This window comes from Homo sapiens, chromosome 12, assembly GCF_000001405.40.
Source record: "Homo sapiens chromosome 12, GRCh38.p14 Primary Assembly".
NCBI lineage: Eukaryota > Metazoa > Chordata > Mammalia > Primates > Hominidae > Homo > Homo sapiens.
In genome coordinates, this window is record NC_000012.12 from 21,083,083 (window position 1) to 21,108,392 (window position 25,310).

General features: G+C 35.2%; 1 protein-coding gene across 1 annotated transcript in view; it reads left to right on the forward strand.

The window, feature by feature from the left end:
• SLCO1B3-SLCO1B7 (SLCO1B3-SLCO1B7 readthrough) overlaps positions 1–8,140 on the forward strand; it is a 275,549-nt gene extending 267,409 nt beyond the window's left edge. Inside the window, exon 16 of the mRNA NM_001371097.1 lies at positions 6,826–8,140. Coding sequence (NP_001358026.1) covers positions 6,826–7,024 — 199 coding nt within the window. The 3' untranslated portion in view covers positions 7,025–8,140. The remainder of the gene's footprint in view (positions 1–6,825) is intronic.
• Positions 8,141–25,310: the final 17,170 nt, after the last annotated feature.

Below are 25,310 nucleotides of genomic sequence, written 5' to 3' on the forward strand. Positions count from 1 at the left end.
CCAGCTTGGCCAACATGGTGAGACCCCGTCTCTACTAAAAAATACAAAAATTAGCCTGGCATGGTGGCAGGTGCCTGTAATCCCAACTACTCAGGATGCTGAGGTAGGAGAATCACGGGAACCTGGGAGGTGGACGTAGCAGTGAGCCAAGATCTTGCCACTGTAGTCTAGCATGGGCAACAGAGTGAGACTCCATCTCAAAAATAAATAAATAATAAAATAAAATAAAAAGATGCAGCTCTATCAATACCTTGATTTTAGCCAATTAAGGCAAGTGTTAGGCTTCTGACATCCAGTGCATGCTTCAAGCTTATCTCATACACCCTTTCTTCAAAAGTTTGCACCACTTCAGCCAGCTAGAAATAACCATCCCTCTTTACAACTCTCCTGGCATATTGTAGCTGACACATGGCCCTTACTACTTTTATTTTAGTCACCTGTGTTCACTGCTGGATTGGTTAAAGTGGACATTTTTAAAAGAGCAGTTATTTGCCAATTAATACAACAGTTAAATGGTTATCTTATGATTATTAAAGGACTTTATTTTTTAGAATAGTTTTAGAATCGCAGTACAATTGAGGAGAAAGCACAGAGATTTCCCATATCCTGCCTGCTCCCACACATGCATAGCCTTGCCCGTTATCAACATCTCCCATCAGGGTGGTAGATTTGTTACAATTGACAACCCATATTGACATATCTTTATCACTCATGGTCTGTTCCATTGGTCTATATCTCTGTTTTGGTACCAGTACCATGCTGTTTTGGTTACTGTAGCCTTGTAGTATAGTTTGAAGTCAGGTAGGGTGATGCCTCCAGCTTTGTTCTTTTGGCTTAGGATTGACTTGGTATGCAGGCTCTTTTTTGGTTCCATATGAACTTTAAAGTAGTTTTTTCCAATTCTGTGAAGAAAGTCATTGGTAGCTTGATGGGGATGGCATTGAATCTGTAAATTACCTGGGGCAGTATGGCCATTTTCACGATATTGATTCTTCCTACCCATAAGCAGGGAATGTTCTTCCATTTGTTTGTATCCACTTGTATTTCCTTGAGGAGTGGTTTGTAGTTCTCCTTGAAGAGGTCCTTCACATCCCTTGTAAGTTGGATTCCTAGGTATTTTATTCTCTTTGAAGCAATTGTGAATGGGAGTTCACTCATGATTTGGCTCTCTGTTTGTCTGTTATTGGTGTATAAGAATGCTTGTGATTTTTGTACATTGATTTTGTATCCTGAGACTTTGCTGAAGTTGCTTATCAGCTTGAGGAGATTTTGGGCTGAGACAATGGGGTTTTCTAGATATACAATCATGTCTTCTGCAAACAGAGACAATTTGACTTCCTCTTTTCCTAATTGAATACCCTTTATTACCTTCTCCTGCCTGATTGCCCTGGCCAGAACTTCCAACACTCTGTTGAATAGGAGTGGTGAGAGAGGGCATCCCTGTCTTGTGCCAGTTTTCAAAAGGAATGCTTCCAGTTTTTGCCCATTCAGTATGATATTGGCTGTGGGTTTGTCATAGATAGCTCTTATTATTTTGAGATATGTCCCATCAATACCTAATTTATTGAGAGTTTTTAGCATGAAGGGTTGTTGAATTTTGTCAAAGGCTTTTTCTGCATCTATTGAGATAATCATGTGGTTTTTGTCTTTGGTTCTGTTTATATGCTGGATTACATTTATTGATTTGCGTATATTGAACCAGCCTTGCATCCCAGGGATGAAGCCCACTTGATCATGTTGGATAAGCTTTTTGATGTGCTGCTGGATTCAGTTTGCCATTATTTTATTGAGGATTTTTGCATCAATGTTCATCAAGGATATTGGTCTAAAATTATCTTTTTTGGTTGTGTCTCTGCCTGGCTTTGGTATCAGGATGATGCTGACGTCATAAAATGAGTTAGGGAGGATTCCCTGTTTTTCTATTGATTGGAATAGTTTCAGAAGGAATGGTACCAGTTCCTCCTTGTACCTCTGGTAGAATTCAGCTGTGAATCCATCTGGTCCTGGACTCTTTTTGGTTGCTAAGCTATTGATTATTGCCACAATTTCAGAGCCTGTTATTGGTCTATTCAGAGATTCAACTTCTTCCTGGTTTAGTTTTGGGAGAGAGTACGTGTCGAGGAATTTATCCATTTCTTCTAGATCTTCTAGTTTATTTGCGTAGAGGTGTTTGTAGTATTCTCTGATGGTAGTTTGTATTTCTGTGGGATCGGTGGTGATATCCCCTTTATCATTTTTTATTGTGTCTATTTGATTCTTCTCTCTTTTTTTCTTTATTAGTCTTGCTAGCGGTCTATCAATTTTGTTGATGCTTTCAAAAAACCAGCTCCTGGATTCATTAATTTTTTGAAGGGTTTTTTGTGTCTCTATTTCCTTCAGTTCTGCTCTGATTTTAGTTATTTCTTGCCTTCTGCTAGCTTTTGAATGTGTTTGCTCTTGCTTTTCTAGTTCTTTTAATTGTGATGTTAGGGTGTCAATTTTGGATCTTTCCTGCTTTCTCTTGTGGGCATTTAGTGCTATAAATTTCCCTCTACACACTGCTTTGAATGCGTCCCAGAGATTCTGGTATGTTGTGTCTTTGTTCTCGTTGGTTTCAAAGAACATCTTTATTTCTGCCTTCATTTCGTTATGTACCCCGTAGTCATTCAGGAGCAGGTTGTTCAGTTTCCATGTAGCTGAGCGGTTTTGAGTGAGATTATTAATCCTGAGTTCTAGCTTGATTGCACTGTGGTCTGAGAGATAGTTTGTTATAATTTCTGTTCTTTTACATTTGCTGAGGAGAGTTTTACTTCCCAGTATGTGGTCAATTTTGGAATAGGTGTGGTGTGGTGCTGAAAAAAATGTATATTCTGTTGATTTGGGGTGGAGAGTTCTGTAGATGTCTATTAGGTTCGCTTGGTGCAGAGCTGAGTTCAATTCCTGGGTATCCTTGTTAACTTTCTGTCTCATTGATCTGTCTAATGTTGACAGTGGGGTGTTAAAGTCTCCCATCAGTATTGTGTGGGAGTCTAAGTCTCTTTGTAGGTCACTCAGGACTTGCTTTATGAATCTGGGTGCTCATGTATTGGGTGCATATATATTTAAGATAGTTAGCTCTTCTTGTTGAATTGATCCCTTTACCATTATGTAATGGCCTTCTTTGTCTCTTTTGATCTGTGTTGATTTAAAGTCTGTTTTATCAGAGACTAGGATTGCAACCCCTGCCTTTTTTTGTTTTCCATTTGCTTGGTAGATCTTCCTCCATCCCTTTATTTTGAGCCTTTGTGTGTCTCTGCATGTGAGATGGGTTTCCTGAATACCGCACACTGATTGGTCTTGACTCTTTATCCAATTTGCCAGTCTGTGTCTTTTAATTGGAGCATTTAGTCCATTTACATTTAAAGTTAATATTGTTATGTGTGAATTTGATCCTGTCATTGTGATGTTAGCTGGTTATTTTGCTCATTAGTTGATGCAGTTTCTTCCTAGCCTCGATGGCCTTTACAATTTGGCATGATTTTTCAGTGGCTGGTACTGGTTGTTCCTTTCCATGTTTAGTGCTTCCTTCAGGAGCTCTTTTAGGGCAGGCCTGGTGGTGACAAAATCTCTCAGCATTTGCTTATCTGTAAAGTATTTTATTTCTCCTTCACTTATGAAGCTTAGTTTGGCTGGATATGAAATTCTGGGTTGAAAATTCTTTTCTTTAAGAATGTTGAATATTGGCCCCCATGCTCTTCTGGCTTGTAGAGTTTCTGCTGAGAGATCAGCTGTTAGTCTGATGGGCTTCCCTTTGTGGGTAACCTGACCTTCCTCTCTGGCTGCCCTTAACATTTTTTCCTTCATTTCACCTTTGGTGAATCTGACAATTATGTGTCTTGGAGTTGCTCTTCTCGAGGAGTATCTTTGTGGTGTTCTCTGTATTTCCTGAATCTGAATGTTGGCCTGCCTTGCTAGATTGGGGAAGTTCTCCTGGACAACATCTTGCAGAGTGTTTTCCAACTTGGTTCCATTCGCCCTGTCACTTTCAGGTATACCAATCAGACGTAGATTTGGTCTTTTCACATAGTCCCATATTTCTTGGAGGCTTTGTTCGTTTCTTTTTATTCTTTTTTCTCTAAACTTCCCTTCTCGCTTCATTTCATTCATTTCATCTTCCATCACTGATACCCTTTTTTCCAGTTGATCGCATCGGCTCCTGAGGCTTCTGCATTCTTCACGTAGTTCTCGAGCCTTGGCTTTCAGCTCCATCAGCTCCTTTAAGCACTTCTCTGTATTGGTTATTCTAGTTATACATTCGTCTAAATTTTTTTCAAAATTTTCAACTTCTTTGCCTTTGGTTTGAATTTCCTCCTGTAGCTCAGAGTAGTTTGATCGTCTGAAGCCTTCTTCTCTCAACTCGTTGAAGTCATTCTCCATCCAGCTTTGTTCCGTTGCTGGTGAGGAACTGCGTTCCTTTGGAGGAGGATTGGCGCTCTGCTTTTTAGAGTTTCCAGTTTTTCTGCTCTGTTTTTTCCCCATCTTTGTGGTTTTATCTACTTTTGGTCTTTGATGATGGTGATGTACAGATGGGTTTTTGGTGTGGATGTCCTTTCTGTTTGTTAGTTTTCCTTCTAACAGACAGGACCCTCAGCTGCAGGTCTGTTGGAGTTTGCTAGAGGTCCACTCCAGACCCTGTTTACCTGGGTATCAGCAGCGGTGGCTGCAGAAGAGCAGATTTTCGTGAACCGAGAGTGCTGCTGTCTGATCATTCCTCTGGAAGTTTTGTCTCAGAGGAGTACCCGGCTGTGTGAAGTGTCAGTCTTCCCCTACAGGGGGTGCCTCCCAGTTAGGCTGCTCAGGGGTCAGGGGTCAGGGACCCAGTTGAGGAGGCAGTCTGCCCGTTCTCAGATCTCCAGCTGCGTGCTGGGAGAACCACTGCTCTCTTCAAAGCTGTCAGACAGGGACATTTAAGTCTGCAGAGGTTACTGCTGTCTTTTTGTTTGTCTGTGCCCTGCCCCCAGAGGTGGAGCCTACAGAGGCAGGCAGGCCTCCTTGAGCTGTGGTGGGCTCCACCCAGTTCGAGCTTCCCAGCTGGTTTGTTTACCTAAGCAATCCTGGGCAATGGCGGGCGCCCCTCCTCCAGCCTCGCTGCCACCTTGCAGTTTGATCTCAGACTGCTGTGCTAGCAATCAGGGAGACTCCGTGGGTGTAGGACCCTCCGAGCCAGGTGCGGGATATAATCTCCTGGTGCGCCGTTTTTTAAGCCCGTCAGAAAAGCGCAGTATTAGGGTGGGAGTGACCCGATTTTCCAGGTGCCGTCTGTCACCCCTTTCTTTGACTAGGAAAGGGAGCTCCCTGATCCATTGCCCTTCCTGAGTGAGGCAATGCCTCACCCTGCTTTGGCTCACGCACGGTGTGCTGCACCCACTGTCCTGTGCCCACTGTCTGGCACTCCCTAGTGAGATGAACCCGGTACCTCAGATGGAAATGCAGAAATCACCAGTCTTCTGCGTCGCTCATGCTAGGAGCTGTAGCCCGGAGCTGTTCCTATTCGGCCATCTTGGCTGCTCTCCGATGATGTCTTTATTTCAACTTGACTTTTGAGAGATAATTGCACAGGGTACATAATTGTAAGTTGGAGGTGTTTTTCTCTCAACACTTTGAATATTTCAGTCCACTCTCTTCTGGAGTGCATGGTTTCTGAAGAGAAGTCTGATGTAATCTTTTGCTCCTCTATACATAAGGTTTGTTTTTTTTCTGGCTTCTTACAGGATGTTTTCTTCATCTTTGATTTTCTACAGTCTGAAAATAACAAAACTATGCATAATTTTTCTGGCAATTTTCCTTCTTGGTGTTTTCTGAGCTTCCTGGGTCTGTAGTTTAGTGTCTGACATTCATTCAAGAAAAATTTTCAGTGCTTTTTAGTTCAAATATTTATTTTGTTCCTTTCTTTCTCCCTTTCAAGTATTTCCATTATACACACGTAGTTATCACAAAGTTCTTGGCTATCCTTTTTTTTTTTCCTCTAGTCTTACTTTTCTTTGCTTTTAATTTTGGAGGTTTGTATTGGGATATACTTAGAGATAGTTTCCTCAGCTGTAATCTACCTAACAATAAAAAAATTAAGGTATTTGTCATATCTGTTACAGTATTTTTTAATCTTTAGTGATTCTTTTTGGCTCTTAGAATTTTTATCTCCTTGCTTACATTGCTCCCCTGTTCTTGCATGCTCTCTACATTATTCATTAGAGCCCTTAGCAAATTAATAATAGTTGTTTTAAATTTCCATTTTGATAATTCCAACGTCCGTTATATACCTGGATCTGGCTTTAAGTCTTATTCTTTTCAGACTGTGTTTATTGCCTTTTAGTATGAGACTTGCAATTTTTTCTTGACAGCCAGACAAAATGTACTGGGTAAAAGGAATGGCTGTATTTAAGGGTTTATTAATGTGGTGTAAGGTGCTGGAGAAAAAGTAGCATTCAACAGTTCTATGATAAGGTCTCAATCTTTTACCGAGCCTGTACCTGTGGATTGTGAACTTCGAACTTCCTTCTCAGTTTCTGTCTCCTGCCCTTATGTAGAATGAGAGGGTTTGAGAGGTCTGGAGATGTATATTTTTCTCCATCCCAGAGGAAGGCTAGAGAAAGCCGGAGTTTAGTTTCTGTAGCTTTGCATTTAAATAAAAAAAAAACAATAGGAAAGTTTTTTATTCCCCAATGAAAAGAATAAACAGAATTGCTTTCTTAATATTTGTATGTATAACTTCTGTTTTTTTTTTCTTTTAAGGTCTGCATACTGGGGAGAAAAAAATGTAAAATATTTTACACAATTTAATAATCTATTTTCTTTATTCTCTTTTCACAGAAGAGCCTTCTTCGGCTTGAAGGTAGCCCTAATATTTCCAGTACTTGTTTTACTTACTGTATTTATTTTTGTTGTAAGGAAAAAATCCCATGGAAAGGATACCAAAGTATTAGAAAATGAAAGACAAGTAATGGATGAAGCAAACTTAGAATTCTTAAACGACAGTGAACATTTTGTACCTTCTGCTGAAGAACAGTAAAGCATGTAATTAAGAGGAGGAAAAAAATAATTTTGCTGCTGTTTCCAACTAATGTATTGATTCCATAAGACGTTATTTTTGTGGTGTTCTGAGTCTTTTCACTGAGAATTCCCACATTCTTCACTTATGATGCAACAATGAATAAGCCTATGAATTTATAATGAAACAAACTATAAAAAATGGTACCCATGGTTAGGACATAGCTACACAAGCATTTGTAGTTTAGAATATATAATTCATAAAAATTTGAAGTGAGAGGAATAGTTAATATGTAATAGAAGAAAAAGTACTTGCTCAGGTAGTTGTAACTCTTAATAAAACCAATGACTAGAATACAAGTGGAAGTAAAAAGGTGGAGATAGATTAATAGCCTAAATAACGAGAGAACCTTATGCCTTTTTTAAAACAAAACAAAACCATTGAGACATTTTACTTAGTCCTAAAATCTAGCCTGGATTTATGCTATAATGATATCTATTTTTCATGTTAAATTGTACATTACTCAGAAATTATAAATATTATTACTTTATAATTTGAAATTGTGTTTGCTAGCCACCTTGATGTATTTTCTTCCAAACTCCCATTAAGATACTATTGAAAAAATAGAAATAGTCAAATATTTGCAAGGTATAATTGTTAGGCAACATATTATAGCATGTGTTAAGTTTCTGCTAGGCCTATGGAAATTTTTTTTTTTATTTTTGTTCCATTTTTATTCACTTTGAGGAAGTGTTGCCTTTTTTTTTGATGTACTTAAATGGCTAAAATAAAAAAGACAATCACAAGAAAAAAAAAGAAGAAAAAATAAAAATGAAAATAAAAATAAAATATCCATCAATTTTAATTTCACTCCAGTTAGAGAAAGTAAAAGCTCTGGTCTTAGATACATCTCTTGTATTTCATCTGTAGTGAGAAGAAAGAACACTCTTCATTGGCAATTATCAAATTATTTGTTTGAAGAGCATTTTTCCACATTCAGCTCCCCATCTTCTTGCATAAGGAAATGGTTTAAGAAAAGCTGACTTTGACTTGAGAAACAAAATCCATTGATAAGATGTGTCTTCATTGCATCTGTCTGTTCTCTGGGAGAAATAAAATCTGTGTCACTCTCTTGCATACTTGTTTGTTGGTTCATCATGCACAAAAAGATATCTTCCAGATCTCTACAAGCCAGGCAAGAAATAGGGAAAATGAGATCAAATATTGAAATATTGCATTTTCTAGTAGGAACAACTCTACTGTAATGAATGCTAGAGGTTGTAGTTTCTTATTCTTAATTGATTTAAATTTTTTTTGTATCAGAGTCAAGTGTAAAAATATATTTTCAACAAATATAATTATAGACCTACTTTAGAGATTCTGAATTCAAGCATTTGTGATATAGCTTGGACATCTTTAAAAAATTCCACATGATGTTAGTATTCCTTGATAGACAGAAAGCCATGTGATAAGACAAGGTATGCCTGAGTATAGCAAAGTCACACAAAATAAATATTACTAGAATCTGGGAAATGGCCTGAAAGTTATATATATACATACACAAATACCTATATATGTAATTTCCTATATATATACACACACACACATAAATGTAACTTCATATATATACACACACATATATATACACACACACATATATATGTAACTTCTGGTGTGTGTGTCTATGTATATATACACACACACATATACATACACACTTATATAAAAAAGTATTAATTTATATAATTAATATATGTATTAATGTTTCCCCAGTCTGTAAACTGGAGAAAAGATACATTAATTACACAAACAGAAACTTGAGGAAAACCACACATTTGCTAGGTTTGTAGGTGTCATATAAAAAATCTGATGGGATCATACACACGCACACATAAACACACATACACATATAATTGTACATATTTATGGAATACAATTTGATGTTTCAGTACATGTATACACTGTGTAATGATCAAATAATGGTTATTAGCATATTGATTACCTTACACATTTATCATTTCTTTATCGTGAGTACATTCAAAATCCTCTCTTCTAGCTTTTTGAAAGATACATTATTGTCAGCTATAGTCACCCTACTATACAGCAACTTATTCCTCCTACCTAACTTTAACATTTTACCATTAAAAAACCTCTCCCCATCTTCCACTTCCCGTTTTTCCCATCTTTGATAACCACTATTCCATTCTCAATGCCGTTGAGATCAATTTGTTTAGATTCTTCACATGAATGATACCATGCAGTATTTTTCTTTCTATACCTAGCTTATTTCCCTTGACACAATGTTCTCCAGGCTCAACTATTTTATTGAAAATGACAGGATTTCATCTTTTTTTGTGGCCGAATGGAGTTCATTATGCATATCTACCTCACATTTTCTTTATTCTTTTCTCTGTTGATGACATTTAGGTTGATTCCATGCCTTGGATAATATGAATACATGCCTTGGATAATATGAACAGTGCTGCAATAAACATGAAAGTGCAGAATGACTCTTCAACATATTTATTTCATTTTCTTTGGCCATATACCCAGTAGTGGGATTGCTGGATCATATGATAGATCTATTTTTAAATTTTTGAGGAGCTTCCATACTGTTTTTCATAACCCCTGTACTAATTTACATTAACAACTGTGTATAAAACTTTCCCATTCTCCACAGTATTGCCAGCATTTTTTTTTTTTTTTTTTTTTTTTGCCTTTTTGATGCTATCCATTCTGTCTGGGATGAGGTGATATCTCATTTTGGCTTCTATTTGCATTTCGCTGATTGTTAGTGATATTGAGCATTTTTTTCATATAACTGTTGGCCGTTTCTATATCTTCCTTGGAAAAATGTCTTTGCCCATTTTTAAATTAGGTTTTTCCTATTGAATTGTTTGAGTTCCTTATAAATTCTTTATATTAATCTCTTGTCAGATGTAAAATTTGCAAATATTTTCTCCCATTCTGTAGGTTTTCTCCTTAGTCTGTTGATTGCTTCCTTTGCCATGCAGAAATTTTTTAGTTTGATGTAATTACTCTATTTTTGCTTTTGTTGCCTGTGTTTTTGAGATCTCGCCTAATAAATCCTTGCCAAGACTGAAGTTATGTAGCATTTCTTCTTGTATTATTCTAGTACTTTCATAGTTTCAGATCTTACATTTAACTCTTTAGTCTATTTTGAATGGAATTTTGTATGTGGTGAGAAATAGAGGTCTAGCTTTATTCTATTGTATGTGGATATTCAGTTTTCCTAACACCATTTGTTGAAGAGACCGAGCTTTCTTCAATTTGTGTTTTTGGCATCTTTTTTGAATCTTTTGGTTGTCAATGCATTAATTTATTTCTGGGATCTCTGTTTGGTTACACTGAACTTTTTGTCTTTTCTAATTTTTTTTGGCCAATACAATGCTGTTTTCATTACTATAGCTTTGTAGTATATTTTTAAGGCAATTAGTGTGAGGTCTCTAGCTTTATCCTTTTGCTCAGAATTACTTTAGTTATTCAGAGTCTTTTGTGGACCTCCAGTAATATGTTGAGTAGGTCCAGTAAGAGTGGGGAGCTTCACATTGTTCCCGATCTTAGAGGAAAAGCTTTCAACAACTCCTCATTCAGCATTACGCTGCCTGTGGATTTGTCATATATGGCCTCTGTTATGTTGAAGTATGTTATTTCTGTACCTAATTGGTTGAGAGTTTTTATTATGAAGAGGTGTTAAATTTTGTCAAATGCATCTGCATTTATTGAAATGATCATATAATTTTTATCTGATTCTATTGATGTAATGTATCATGCTTATTGATTCACATATGTTGAAATATCATGGCATCTCTGATATGAATCCCAGTGAATTTTTTTAATATGTTGTTAAACTTGGTTTACTAGTATTTTGTTGACAATTTCTACATTTAAATTCATCAGGGATATTGACCTCAAGTATTTGTATTGCTGTTATGTCTTTCTCTGGTTTTGGAATCAGTGTAATTATGGCTTCATATAATAAGTTTGAAAGAGTTCCCGCCTTTTCAATTTTTTTGGAACAGTTTGTGAAAAATTGTATTAGTTCTTTTAAAAATATTTTCTAGAATTTAGCAATGACACCATCATGTCCTGGACTTTCTTTTCATGGAAGAGTTTATTCCTGCTTCAAATCTCATTACTCATTATTTGTTTGTTCATATTTTCTACTTCTTAGTGCAATCTTGGCAGGTTTGATAAATTGCTTGTATTTCTATAGTTTTTGGGTTACAGGCAGATTTTGGTTACATGAATAATTTCTTTAGTGATGATTTCTGAGATTTTCATGTACCTGGCACCTGAGTTGTGTATACTGTACCCAATATGTAGTCTTTATCTCTCACCCGTCCTCCCAACCTGCCCCACCCTTGGTAGGTTTTTGTGATTAGGAACTTATTCATTTCTTCTAGATTTTTCATATTGTTGGCATATCATAGTAGTTTCTTATGATCTTTTGTATTTCTGTGGTATCAGATGTAATGCCTTCTTTTTTATCTCTGCTTTTATTTATTTTACTCCTCTCTTTTTTTCTTGGTTAGTCTTGCTAAAAGTTTGTCGATTTCATTTATCTTTTCATAAAATCAGCTTTCTATTTTGTTTATCTTTTCTATTGTTTTTAAGTCTCGATTGTACTCTGATCTTTATTATATCTTTTCTTCTCCTAATTGTGAGTGTAGTCTATTCTTGCTTTTCTATCCTTGAGATCCCTCATTTGGTGGTTCATTTGAGAGCTTTTTTCTTTTTTTCATGTAGATATCTATTGCTATAGACCTCCTTCTAATGACTGGTTTTGCTGTATTTCATAAGTTTTATTTAGTATTTTGTGTTTTTATTTTCTTTTGTCTCTAGAAATTTTTTAAATTTTTCTTTCAATTTGTTCATCAATTTATTGGTTGTTTAGAAGCATGTTGTTTAATTTCCATGTATATGTAGCATTTCAGATCTCCTCCTATTGTTGATTCCTCGTTTACTTCATTTTCATGAAAAATGATATTTGATATGATTTTAATTTCTTGAATTTGTTAAGACTTTTTTAGTAGACTAACATATGATCTGTCCTGTAGAAAATACCACGTCCAGTGTAGAAGAATGTGTATTATTCAGCTGTTGGATGGAATGTTCTTTTAATGTCTGTTAGGTCCATTTGGTCTAGAGTGCAGTTTAAATCTGATGTTTTCTCCTTGGTTTTCTGTAAATAATCTGTCCACTGCAGAAAGCAGGGTGTTGAAATTCCCTACTGTTATTGTATTACTGTGTATCTCTCCCTTTAGATTGATTAATGTATCCTTCATGTATTTAAATGCTTTGATGGATGTTGGTTGTGTATGTATTCATGATTGTTATATGCTTTTATTAATCCTTTTATCATTATATAGTAGCCTTGTTTATCTCTTTATATATTTTTTACTTGAGATTTATTTTATCTGTTATAAGTATAGCTACTCTTGCTTTGTTTTGGTTTTTATTTGTATGAGTATCTTTTTTTCACTCATTCACTTTCAGTATATGCATGTCTGTACAGGTGAAATGAGTGTCTTGTAGGGAAAATATAGTTGAGCCTTGTTATTTTTATCCACTCCATCAAATTTATGTCTTTCAACTGCAGAATTCAGTCTATATATATTCAATGTGATTATTGAAAGTAAGACCTTACTACTGCCAGTTTGCTGCTCCTTTTTGAGCTGTAATTTTGTACATTTTAATAAATCTCCTCCTATTCCTCCTTTCTCCTTACCCTTTCCAGTCTAGTATCCTCTTTTTTACTTTTTACTTTTATGAGATCAACTTTTTTAAGCTTTTACATATGAGTGAAAACATGTGGTGCAAAACATTCTGCTCCTGGCTTACTTCATTTAATACAATGTTGTCCAATTCCATTTGTGTTGCTGTGAATGACAAGATTTCATTCTTTATTATAGCTAAATAGTATTCTCTACATCTCTCTAAATATGCAGATTTTTTCTTTCTTTCTTTCTTCCTTCCTTCTTTCTTTATATATATATATATTTTATTATGCTTTAAGTTCTAGGGTACATGTGCACAAAGTGCAGGTTTGTTACATATGTATATATGTGCCATGTTGGTGTGCTGCACCCATTAACTCGTCATTTACATTAGGTATATCTCCTAATGCTATCCCTCCCCCCTCCCCCCACCCCACAACAGGCCCTGGTGTGTGATGTTCCCCTTCCCATGTCCAAGTCTTCTCATTGTTCAATTCCCACCTATGATTGAGAACATGCAGTGTTTGGTTTTTTGTCTTTGCGATAGTTTGCTGAGAATGATGGTTTCCAGCTTCATCCATGTCCCTACAAAGGACATGAACTCATCATTTTTTATGGCTGCATAGTATTCCATGGTGTATATGTGCCACATTTTCTTAATCCACTCTATCATTGATGGATATTTGGGTTGGTTCCTTTGCTATTGTGAATAGTGCCACAATAAACATATGTGTGCATGTGTCTTTATAGCAGCATGATTTATATTTCTTTGGGTATATACCCAGTAATGGGATGGCTGGGTCAAATGGTATTTCTAGTTCTAGATCCCTGAGGAATCACCACACTGTCTTCCACAATGGTTGAACTAGTTTACAGTCCCATCAACAGTGTAAAAGTGTTCCTATTTCTCCACATCCTCTCCAGCACCTGCTGTTTCCTGACTTTTTAATGATCACCATTCTAACTGGCGTGAGATGATATCTCATTGTGGTTTTGATTTGCATTTCTCGATGGCCAGTGATGATGAGCACTTTTTCATGTGTCTGTTGGCACATAAATGTCTTCTTTTGAGAAGTGTCTGTTCATATCCTTTGCCCTCTTGTTGATGGGGTTGTTTGTTTTTTTTCTTGTAAATTTGTTTGAGTTCTTTGTAGATTCTGAATATTAGCCCTTTGTCAAATGAGTAGATTGCCAAAATTTTCTCCCATTCTGTAGGTTGCTTGTTCACTCTGATGGTAGTTTCTTTTGCTGTGCAGAAGCTCTTTAGTTTAATTAGATCCCATTTGTCAATTTTGACTTTTGTTGCCGTTGCTTTTGGTGTTTTAGTCATGAAGTCCTTGCCCATGCCTATGGCCTGAATGGCATTGCCTAGGTTTTCTTCTAGGGTTTTTATGATTTTAGGTCTAACATGTAAGTCTTTAATCCATCTTGAATTAATTTTTGTATAAGGTGTAAGGAAGGGATCCAGTTTCAGCTTTCTACATATGGCTTGCCAGTTTTCCCAGCATCATTTATTAAATAGGGAATCCTTTCCCCATTGCTTGTTTTTCTCAGGTTTGTCAAAGATCAAATAGTTGTAGATAGGCGGCACTATTTCTGAGGGCTCTGTTCTGTTCCATTGGTCTATATCTCTGTTTTGGTACCAGTACCATGCTGTTTTGGTTACTGTAGCCTTGTAGTATAGTTTGAAGTCAGGTAGGGTGATGCCTCCAGCTTTGTTCTTTTGGCTTAGGATTGACTTGGTGATGCGGGCTCTTTTTTGGTTCCATATGAACTTTAAAGTAGTTTTTTCCAATTCTGTGAAGAAAGTCATTGGTAGCTTGATGGGGATGGCATTGAATCTGTAAATTACCTTGGGCAGTATGGCCATTTTCACGATATTGATTCTTCCCATCCGTGGGATGCAAGGCTGGTTCAACATACGCAAATCAATAAATGTAATCCAGCATATAAACAGAACCAAAGACAAAAACCACATGATTATCTCAATAGATGCAGAAAAGGCCTTTGACAAAATTCAACAGCCCTTCATGCTAAAAACTCTCAATAAATTAGGTATTGATGGGACGTATCTAAAAGTAATAGCTATTTATGACAAACCCACAGCCAATGTCATACTGAATGGGCGAAAACTGGAAGCATTCCCTTTGAAAACTGGCACAAGACAGGGTTGCCCTCTCTCACCACTCCTATTCAACATAGTGTTGGAAGTTCTCGCCAGAGCAATCAGTCAGGGGAAAGAAATCAAGGGTATTCAATTAGGAAAAGAGGAAGTCAAATTGTCTCTGTTTGCAGATCACATGATTGTATATCTAGAAAACCCCATTGTCTCAGCCGAAAATCTCCTCAAGCTGATAAGCAACTTCAGCAAAGTCTCACGATACAAAATCAATGTGCAAAAATCGCAAGCATTCCTATACACCAATAACAGACAAACAGAGAGCCAAATGATGAGTGAACTCCCATTCACAATTGCTTCAAAGAGAATAAAATACCTAGGAATCCAACTTACAAGGGATGTGAAGGACCTCTTCAAGGAGAACTACAAACCACTGCTCAACGAAATAAAAGAGGACCCAAACAAATGGAAGAACATTCTTTTCTTTCTCTTTCTTTCTTTCTTTCTTTCTTTCTTTCTTTCTTTCTTTCTTTCTTTCTTTCTCTTTCTTTCTTATTTTCTTTCTTTCTTTCTCTTTCTTTCTCTTTCTTTCTATCTTACATTTTCTTTATCTGTTCATCTATTGTTGAACACTGAGGTTGATGTCATATTTTGGCTATTATGAATAGGAATAAGATAAATATCAAGGTGCAGATGTCTCCTCAATATTGTGATTTCATTTTCTTTGGATAAATTCCCAGTAGGGGTGTTGCTAGATCATAAGGCTTTTCCGTTGTAGTTTATTGAGGAACCTCCATACTGTTCCCTTTGTGGCTGTGCTAGTTTACATTACTATCAATAGTGTGTAAGAATTCTCTTTACTCTGCATACCTGCCATCATTTTTTTTTTTTTTGCGTGTTTTTTTTTATGATAGCCATTCTAACTAGAGTGAGATGTTACCTCTGGGTGTTTTTTATTTGCACATCTCTTTTAAGTAGTGATGTTGATCATTTAAAAGATATATTTGTTAGCAATTTGTATGTCTTCTTTTGAGCAATGTCTGTACAAACTCTTTGCCCCCTTTTTAAAATTAAATTGCTTGTCTGTGCTGTTGAGCTGTTTGAGTTCCTTGTATATTCTGGATAATAACCACCTGTTGAATCAGTAGCTTGAAAATATTTTCTCACATTTTGTAGACTGGCTCTTTACCCTGTTGATTATTTTGTTTGCTGTATAGAAGCTTTTTAGTTTGTTATAATCTCATTTATTCATTTTTGCTTTTGTTGCCTGTGCTTTAAAAGTCTTACTCATAAAATCTTTCACAGACCAATGTCCTGAAAAATTTCCCCCATGATTTCTTATAGTAGTTTTGTTCCTTCAGGTATAACATTTAGTACTATGACCCATTCTTAATTGATTTTTGTATAAAGTAAGAGATAGGAGCCCTGTTTCATTATTCTGCATATGTATATTCAGTTTTATCAGCACTATTATCTAACAGACTAACCTTGCCGCAATGAATGTTCTTGGCATCTTTGTCAAAAAAACAGTTGGCTTTAAATATGTGAATTAATTTCTGGATTTTGTATTCTGTTTCACTGGCCTGTGTATTGTGCTGTTTTGATTACCACAGCTTTATAGTATATTTTGAGGTATGATAGTTTAATGACTCTAGCTTTTTACTTTTTGCACAATACTGCTTTGGTGATTTGAGGACTTTGTGATTCTGTAAAAATTTTAGAATTTTTTTCCATTTCTGTGAAGAATGTTGTTGGCATTTTGATATAAATTGCATTAATCTGAAGACCGCTTTGGGTAGTAGTGTCATTTTAACAATATTGATTCTTCTGATTTATGAACACAGAATGTCTATTTATTTGTATCCTCTTCAATATTTTTCATCAGCATTTTGCACTTTTTCCTGTAGAGGTTTTCACTTCTTTGCCAAAATTTATTCATAGGTCTTTTTCTGAGCTACAGTAAATAGGTTTATCTTTTTTATTTCTTTTTCAGCTAGTTCATTATTCATGTATAGAAATGCCACTAATTTTTTGTATATTAATTTTGTGTAGAGTCTCTAGATTGTCTATATATGAGATCAGGTCATCTGCAAAAATGGACAACTTGACTTCCTCTCTTCCAATTTAAATGCCCTTCTTTTTCTTTTGCTTATTTGCTCTGGCTAGAAATTCCAGTATTGTGTTGATTAAGAATGGTGAGAGTGGACATACTCGTTCCATTGCTTAGAGAAAAATCTCCCAGATTTCTATTACTTAGGAAATAGTTAGATGTGGGTTTTTCATATATGACCTTTAGTATATTGATGTATTTTTCTTCTACACATAATTTATTAGGAATTTTTATCATGAAGGAATATTGAATTTAGTCAACAGCATTTTCTGTATTAAGACGATCACATGATTTTCGTTCTACTGATAAGACCTTATTGATTCACATATTTTGAATCATCCTTGCATTCCTTTGATAAATCTCACACAGTCATTGTATATTATTTTTCGATGTGTTGTTGAATTAAGTTTTCTAGTATTTTATTGAGTATTTCTGCATCTATGTTTGTCAGGAATACTAGCCTGTAGTTTCCTTATTTCCTGGTGTCCTGATTGGGTTTTGATTATAGTGTTATGCTGACCTCATAGAATGAGTTAGGAAAAATTCCTTCTGCCTCACATTTTTATAATAGTTTGATAATAATGAGTTAATTCTTCTTAAAAAGAATGGTACCAGTAGAAACCAGTAGAATTCAACAGTGAAGCTATACAGTCCTCAACCTGTATTTGTTGAAAGTCTTTTTATTACTAATTCAACCATGTTACTTGCTTTTGGCCTGTCAGATTTTCTATTCCTTCTTCATTCAATCATGATAGGTTGTGAGTCAAAAATTTATCAATTTTCTCTGGGTTTTCAAATTTATTGGAAACAAATAGTGCTTCAGAGTATCTTCTAATGATTCTTCATATTTCTATGGTAGCTGTTATAAAGTTTCCTTGTTTATTTCTGATTTTATTTATTTGGGTCTTTTTTTCTTAATCTAGTTAATGGTTTGTCAATTTTCATTTTCTTTTTATAGAACCAGCATTTTTATGTTAATCTTTTCTATTTTTTTTACACTCTTTGTCAATTAGTTCTGCTCTGATCTTAATTATTTCTTTTCTTATATTAATTTTGGGTGTGGTTGGATTTTTTTGAGTTGATTGAGGTGTACACTCAGGTTTTTATTTGAAATCTTTCTAGGTTTTTGATGTAGGCCTTTATTGCAACTTGCCTTTTAATGCCGATTGTACTGTGTCTCATAGATTTTGGTATATTGTGTTTCTATTTTCATTTGTTTTAAAGAATTTTTAAAATTTTATTAATTTCTTCACTCATTGGTCATTCAAGAACATGCTGTTTACTTTCCACTTATTGTATAGTTTTTAATGTTACTCTTATTATAATGTTAGTTTTATTTTATATGGTCAGATAAGTTACCTAACATGAATTTGATTTTTTGTAATTTTTGAGACTTGTTTTGTGTCCTAACATATTTCTATCCTGGAGATTTTTCCATGCACTGATTAAAAGAATATGCATTCTTCAACTATTGGGTAAAGTTTTTTGTAAATATCTAGTAGGACCATTTATTTATGATGAAATTTATTTATTTTAATTTCCTTTTGAAATTTTAGATTCAGAGGTACATGTGTAGGTTTGCTACAAGAGTGTATTATCTGGTGCTGAGGGTTGGGCTTCTATAGATTCTGTCACCCAGATAAAGAAAATATTATCCCAAAGGAAGATTTTTTGTCCCTTGTCCCCATCTGTCTCTCCCTCTGCTTGGAGTCCCCACTGTCTATTTTTCTCATGTTTATGTCTGTGGAAATGTAAGATTTAGCTCCCACTTATAAGTGGAAACATGTGTTTCTTACTTAGTTTGCTTAGGATAATAGCCTCCAGCTGCACCCATATTGCTACTCAGTACATGATTTTATTCTTTCATATGTCGTGTAGTATTCCATAATGTATTCATACCACATTTTCTTTATCCAATCCACCATTGATGGACACCTAAGTTCATTCCATTCTCTGCTATTGTGAATAGTTCTGCAAGGAACATGAGTGCCTGTGTCTTTTTTATAGAATGATTTATTTTCCTTTGAATATATACCTAGTAATGGGATTACTGGGTCAATTGGTAGTTCTTTAAGAAATATTCGATCTGCTTTCCACAGAAGCTGCACTAATTTGCAATCCCAACAACAATGTGTAAGTGTTCCCTTCTCCCATAACCTCACCAAAGCCTGATATTTTTTGACTTTTAAATAATAATAATTCTGACAGGTGTGAAATCATATCTCCTTGTGGTTGTGATTTTCATCTCTCTGGCAATTAGTTATAATTTTTTATTTTTTTATTTTTAGTGGCTGCTTCTATGTCTTCTTTAGAAAAATGTCTGCTCATATCCTTTGCTCACTTTTCAGTTGGGTTTTTGTGTTGTGATTTATTTAAGTTGCTAATAAACACTGAATATTAGTCCTTTGTTGGATGTGTAGTATGGAGATTTTTTTTCGTATCTTGTGGGTTGCCTGTTTGCTCCATTTACAGTTTCTTTTACTGTTTAGGAGCTCTTTGGCTTAAATTCTAATTGTTTATTTTTTATTTTGTTGCACTTGCTTTTGGGATCTTTATCATAAATTATTTTCCTATCCAGTATCTAGATAAATACTTCCTAGGTTTTCTTCTAGAGTATTTTTAGTTTGAGGTCTTACATTTAATTATTTAATTCATCTTGAGTTTACTTTTATATATACTGAGAGGTAGGGGTCCGATACTATTCTTTTGCATCTGATTAGCCAATTTTCCCAGCACCATTTATTGAATATGGTGTCCTTTCTCCATTGTTGATTTTTGTCAACTTTTTCAGAGATGAATTTGTTGTAGACAAGCAGCTTTATTTCAGGGATCTCTGTTCTGTTCCATTGGTCTATGTGTTTATTTTGTACCAGTACCATGCTGTTTTGATTACCATATTCTTAGAGTGTAGTATGAAGTCATGTAGTGTGATGTCTCTTTCTTTGTTCTTTTTGCATTTACTATTTGGGCTCTTTGTTGATACCATATGAATTTTGGAATAGTTTTTTTTATATTCTGTGAAAAACAATGTTCGTAGTTTGATAGGAGTAGCATATTCAATGCAATTTAGATTGCTTTGGGCTGAATGGACATTTTAATGATATTATTCTTCCCATCCATGAGGACCAAATGTTTTTTCACTTGTTTGTATCATCTTTTATTTCTTACAACATTGTTATGTTGTTCTCCTCATGGAGATCTTGCACGTCCATACTTAGGTTTATTCCTAGGTATTTTTATATGGTTATTGTAAATGGGATTGAGTTCTTGATTTGGTTCTGAGCTTGAGTATTATTGGTGTATAGAATGCTATTGATTTTTGTATGTTGATTTTGTTTCCTGAGACTTTGCTGAAGTTTTTCTATCAGGTAGAAATGTCTTTTGGCAGAATTTTTAGTGTTTTTGAGATACAGAATCATATCATCAGCAAAAAAGATAATTTGACTCCCCGTTTTCCTATTTGAATGACTTTTATTTCTTTATCTTGCCTGATTGCTCAGGCTAGGACTTCCAGTACTAGGTTTAACAGGAGTGGTGAGAGTAAGACAGCTTTGTCTTATTTCAGTACTTAAGGGGAATGCTTCCAGCTTTTTGCCCATTCCGTATGGTATTGCCTGTGGTTTGTCATAGATGATACTTATTATTTTGAGGTATGTTCCTTCAATGCCTAGTTGTGGGTGGGTTTTTTCATGAAGAGATGTTGTATTTTATCAAATGCTTTTTCTGTGTCTTTTGAGGTAATCCTATGGGTTTTGTTTTTAATTTTGTTTATGTGCTGAATTACCTTTATTTATTTGTGTATGTTGAACACTCTTGCATCCCAATAATATAGCCCACTTTATTATGGTGAATTAATTTTGTGTTATACAGCAGATTTGATTTGCTAGTGTTTAGTTGGGGATTTTTGCATCTATGTTTATCAGGGATATTAGCCAGCAGTTTTCTTTTTTCCCTGTGTCTTTGTCAGATTCTGGTATCAGGATGATGTTTGTTTCAATAATGAATTGGGGAGGAGTCCCTCCTCTTTAACTTTTTTTGAATAGTTTTAAAAGAATTCATACCAGCACTTCTGTATATATACACATGTAAAGTTTGGCTGTGAATCTATCAGCCAAGGGCTTTTTTGATTGGATGGGTTTCTAGCACTGATTCAAATTAGGACTCGATATTGATCTGTTTAGGGTTTCAGTTTCTTCCTGGTTCAAACTTGGGAGGTTTTGTGTTTCCAGGATAGTAAGAATTCTCCCATTTAATTCATGGTTCCATTCTGCCCACTGGTGAAGGCCTTAAAGTGACATGATATCAGAATCCTCAAGAGAGCTCTGTCTACATGGAGACAACATCTTCTTAATATCCACATACACAACTCTAACCACCAGCCAATTGGCACTGCAAACTTTGCTGTTGTTCCAAGTTCCATCATTAGAAATTTATGCCTCTGAATTAAGACTTAATCTCCAACAAAGTTGGAAGAGAAATGTTTTCATTCACTGTGTATTGTGAGTGATATATTTCTTTTTTAAGAAGCAGGTTTTTGATAGGAGTGAAAATAGAACATGAGGATATGCACAAACTGAGAGAAAAGACCAGAAAAGCGAGATTATAAATACAAAAAAAAAATCTCTATTCACCAGTTTGTTTAGGACTGATCTTACCAAAAAAATTATATACATTTAAATTCTCTACAAAAAATGTTTCTTTGATTCACATGCATTAAAAATAAATCTACCTTTGTCTGATAATTCCAACATCTGTGTCACATTGCAGTTTGGTTCTGATGATTGCTATATCTGTTCAGTATGTGTGTTTATTGCCTTTTGATGTCTCAGAATTTTTTGTTGAAATCCACAAATGGAGTATAGGAATGTTAATACTGAAGTAAATATTTATTTTACATGAAGATAATCACATCTTTCCTTCTGCTAGGCATGTATTGTGGGGGGTTGTGTCAATAATAGGGCTGAGTTTCAAGTTGTTGTTGCTATGATTACCCTGGGAATATCAAAAGTTTTAAATATTTTAGGAAAAACATGTATATAGAATCTGTCCCCCACCTAGATTTGGTTTCCCCTTTTGCTGTATTACCCAGAAACAATCTGTATCTTGCAGCTCTCCCAGTTATATTCCACTCTGATTTTTACTAGATACTCATTAGCATTAGGGTGATGTTCCCATGAAGCTCAATATTAGGCAAGCTCTGTAAATCTTGGTCTTGAGGATGACCTATTCCTTTCTGAGGAGTGGAGTTTTCTCCTGGCTTCCTTTCCCAGCTGCAAGGGTTTTCACCAGTACTCTCAAATCACAGTTTTTGTTGCCATTCCCTATTGAAGATAAGGACTTTTATTGTTTAAGGGAGAAAGGAGAGATCGGTCTTGAATAGGGCTTGAAGAGTAGTTGCTGTTCTCATGCCCCAGTCAGTACCAATGGGGCTCTCTAAAGATTATCTCTAATCTTCATGTAGAGTACATAGTGAGGCTACTAAAGAAATCAGCTGCAAGAGGCATAAAGCCCCTTATGTCTGCAGCCTTCAGGGCCTTCACTTTCTCTTGTCAACCCATCCTTGGTATTTAGCAACTTCTTAAAATTTTCTAGCTGATTCATTATCCTTACTTATACAGCATTGGGTGACTTCTGCCCCAGGTAAACAAGTGTTCAAATCCTGTTTCTTCCTACAGGAGCCCATCACTCTTGAGATTTTAAGTTAGCTGTTTACCCGTAAGCTCAAGTGACTAATGGGTTCAAGAAAAGTTACGATTTGCATTTTATTCATATTTTATTCATATTTTTTCCTATCATAAGGATGTAGGTGAGACACTCCTGCTCCCTGCATCTCGGATGGAAAGTGAAAGTCTCATTTTTACTCCTTTAGTATAAAGGGAAATATGTTTCTATTGCCTTCATAAATTTTCAAAACCAATTTGAATTATATGAGAGTACCTCTCTCCCTTTCCCTCACCTGATTTTTCTTAATAGAGTCTCTAATAATTCATACATTATGCATTCAGTAAACAAAGAGTTTACTGAAACAAACAGGATAAATCAGAGTTTAAGTAAGCCTGGATTATTTTACCAAAAGATTGATCCCTCACATCTCTCCATTCAGAGTTTTAGTGATGTTCCCCTCACAATATCTCCCATACTCTTAATCCAATCTTTTCATTAATATAAGGTCTCTAAACAACTGAAAAAGAAAAATAAAATGATGCCATTAATATTGAAGGTGGAAGAAAAAGTGTGATTTTGCAAATATATCTGATATTTTGAATAACTGCAAGAACATTTCCAGGGTGGCAAACTTGTTAGATGTTATTAGGTACATACTACACTAGATCTGCAAGTTACTTTTCTCATAGGCCTTAAGAAAACATGCAGAATTATTAAACAATAAGATTTTCAACTCATATTAAAGACCTATATAACTTTCTGCCATATTAGCTATTCCAAAAAAGTAGCACAGTGTATCTTTACTAACAGAAAGAATGTATCTCTTTCAACTTCTATTGCAGTCATTTAGTCATCAGAAATGATGTTGTTGAAGGGTATCTTGAATTTTTCAAACTTTTCATGTTATCAAGATAGGCTGAAGTAGTATTTTATTCAATAATTGACTTCAGCAGTAATGATAAACATCTGAGGGCTAGAAGAGTCCTGTGATAGTCTTTAATTTGATTTTGTTTTTCATAAATTTTTCTTACATTTTTCTTAGGACCAACTATAGAAAGGTTTTCCACTTTGCTTTTATCATCACAAAGCTTTACTTTATTAACAATTGTTTTTAACAAAGCTCTGAGGTCTTTCGTTGGGATACGAAATAACAGCCGCCTCACCACGTGGACCATTTCTGTAATTGGTGCCCTGTATGTCTAGAAAAAATAAAAGGAACATAGCTACATTTTTCAAAAACATAAAAATAATCTACTCAGATAGTTATTTGTTGGATCTAAAAACTACTTGAGTGATATCTTTTAAAACTAGATAAATGACCATATATTTAAAAATTATTTCCAACATTTCTTGTGCCCGTATGAACAAACTGAAAAACATTTTAGATAGACCATTATTATAAACAAAGTATTTCTTTCTATTCATCCTAGAGCAGGAGAAAACATGTAATGAATTTAAGTTTTAAAGCCATGATATTGTGTAATGGCATTTGTTAATCCAGTCCTAGGCATAATTGAGCTAAGGGTGAGACATAAGTAGATGTATGTATCTATTCTCTAGGCATGGGTCATCCATTATAATATTCACTTTCAAAATTTATTAAATATTCTGTTTTTTTCTTCTTCTCCATTCCATTCCATTCCCTTCCCTTTTTCCTTTTTTCGTCTTTTCCATTTTTCTTTCTGAATAATTTGAACTTGACCTATTAGATGGGACCTAGCAAGTGGGACTGTATATCAGGTAAGAAAGGGGGTGGTTCTCTAAGAGAAACTATAAGCACCTGAGTGTGGTGTAAGAGCCCAAGGGCCCAAGTGGTGTTAGAAGAGTGTCCAAGGAGAGTGAGAATTCAGTGGTGTGTCAGAACCCACTGAACTAACTAAAAGCAATTAGGGTTCACCAGAGAAAAAGAACATTTCTATTATATCTTAATACATATGCATGAGTCTGTATGTGTGTGTTTGTATCTGTGTATACTTGTAGTTGTCCCTTGAACTACGTGAGTGTTAGAAATGCCAACCTCACAGTTGAAAATCCACATCTAATTTTTGACTCACCACAACTTATGTACTAATTGCCTGCTGTTGAAAGGAATCCTTACCAGTACCATTAACATTTGATTAGCATGCATTTTGTATGTTGTATGTATTATGTACTGTATTCATTCAACAAAATTAGAGAAAAGAAAATGTTATTAAGAAAATCATAATGAAGAGAAAATATATTTACTATTCATTAAGTGGAAGTGGATCATCATAAAGATCTTTATTCCTGTTTCTTCACATTGAGTAGGCTGTCTTGCTGTCTCAGGAGTGGCAGAGGTAGAAGAAGTGAAGGAGGCGGAGGAGGGCTTAGGAGAAGCAGGCACACTTGGTGTTACTTTTATTGAAGAAATCCACGTATAAGTGGACCTGTGAAGTTGAAATCTGTGTTGTGCAAGGGTCAGCTATACACACACAGACACACACACACACACACACACATATACAGACAGAGAGAGAGAAAGTAGTCCTGCAAACTAGAGACCCGGAAAAGAACTGATGCTGTAATTCAAGTCCAGAGGTAGTGGGCTGGCAGGATTTCTTTGGGAAAGGTTAATCTTTTCCTATTAAGACTTTTAGTAGGAAAGGTAATATGTTTTACTCAAAGTCTATTCATTTAAATGTTAATATCTTC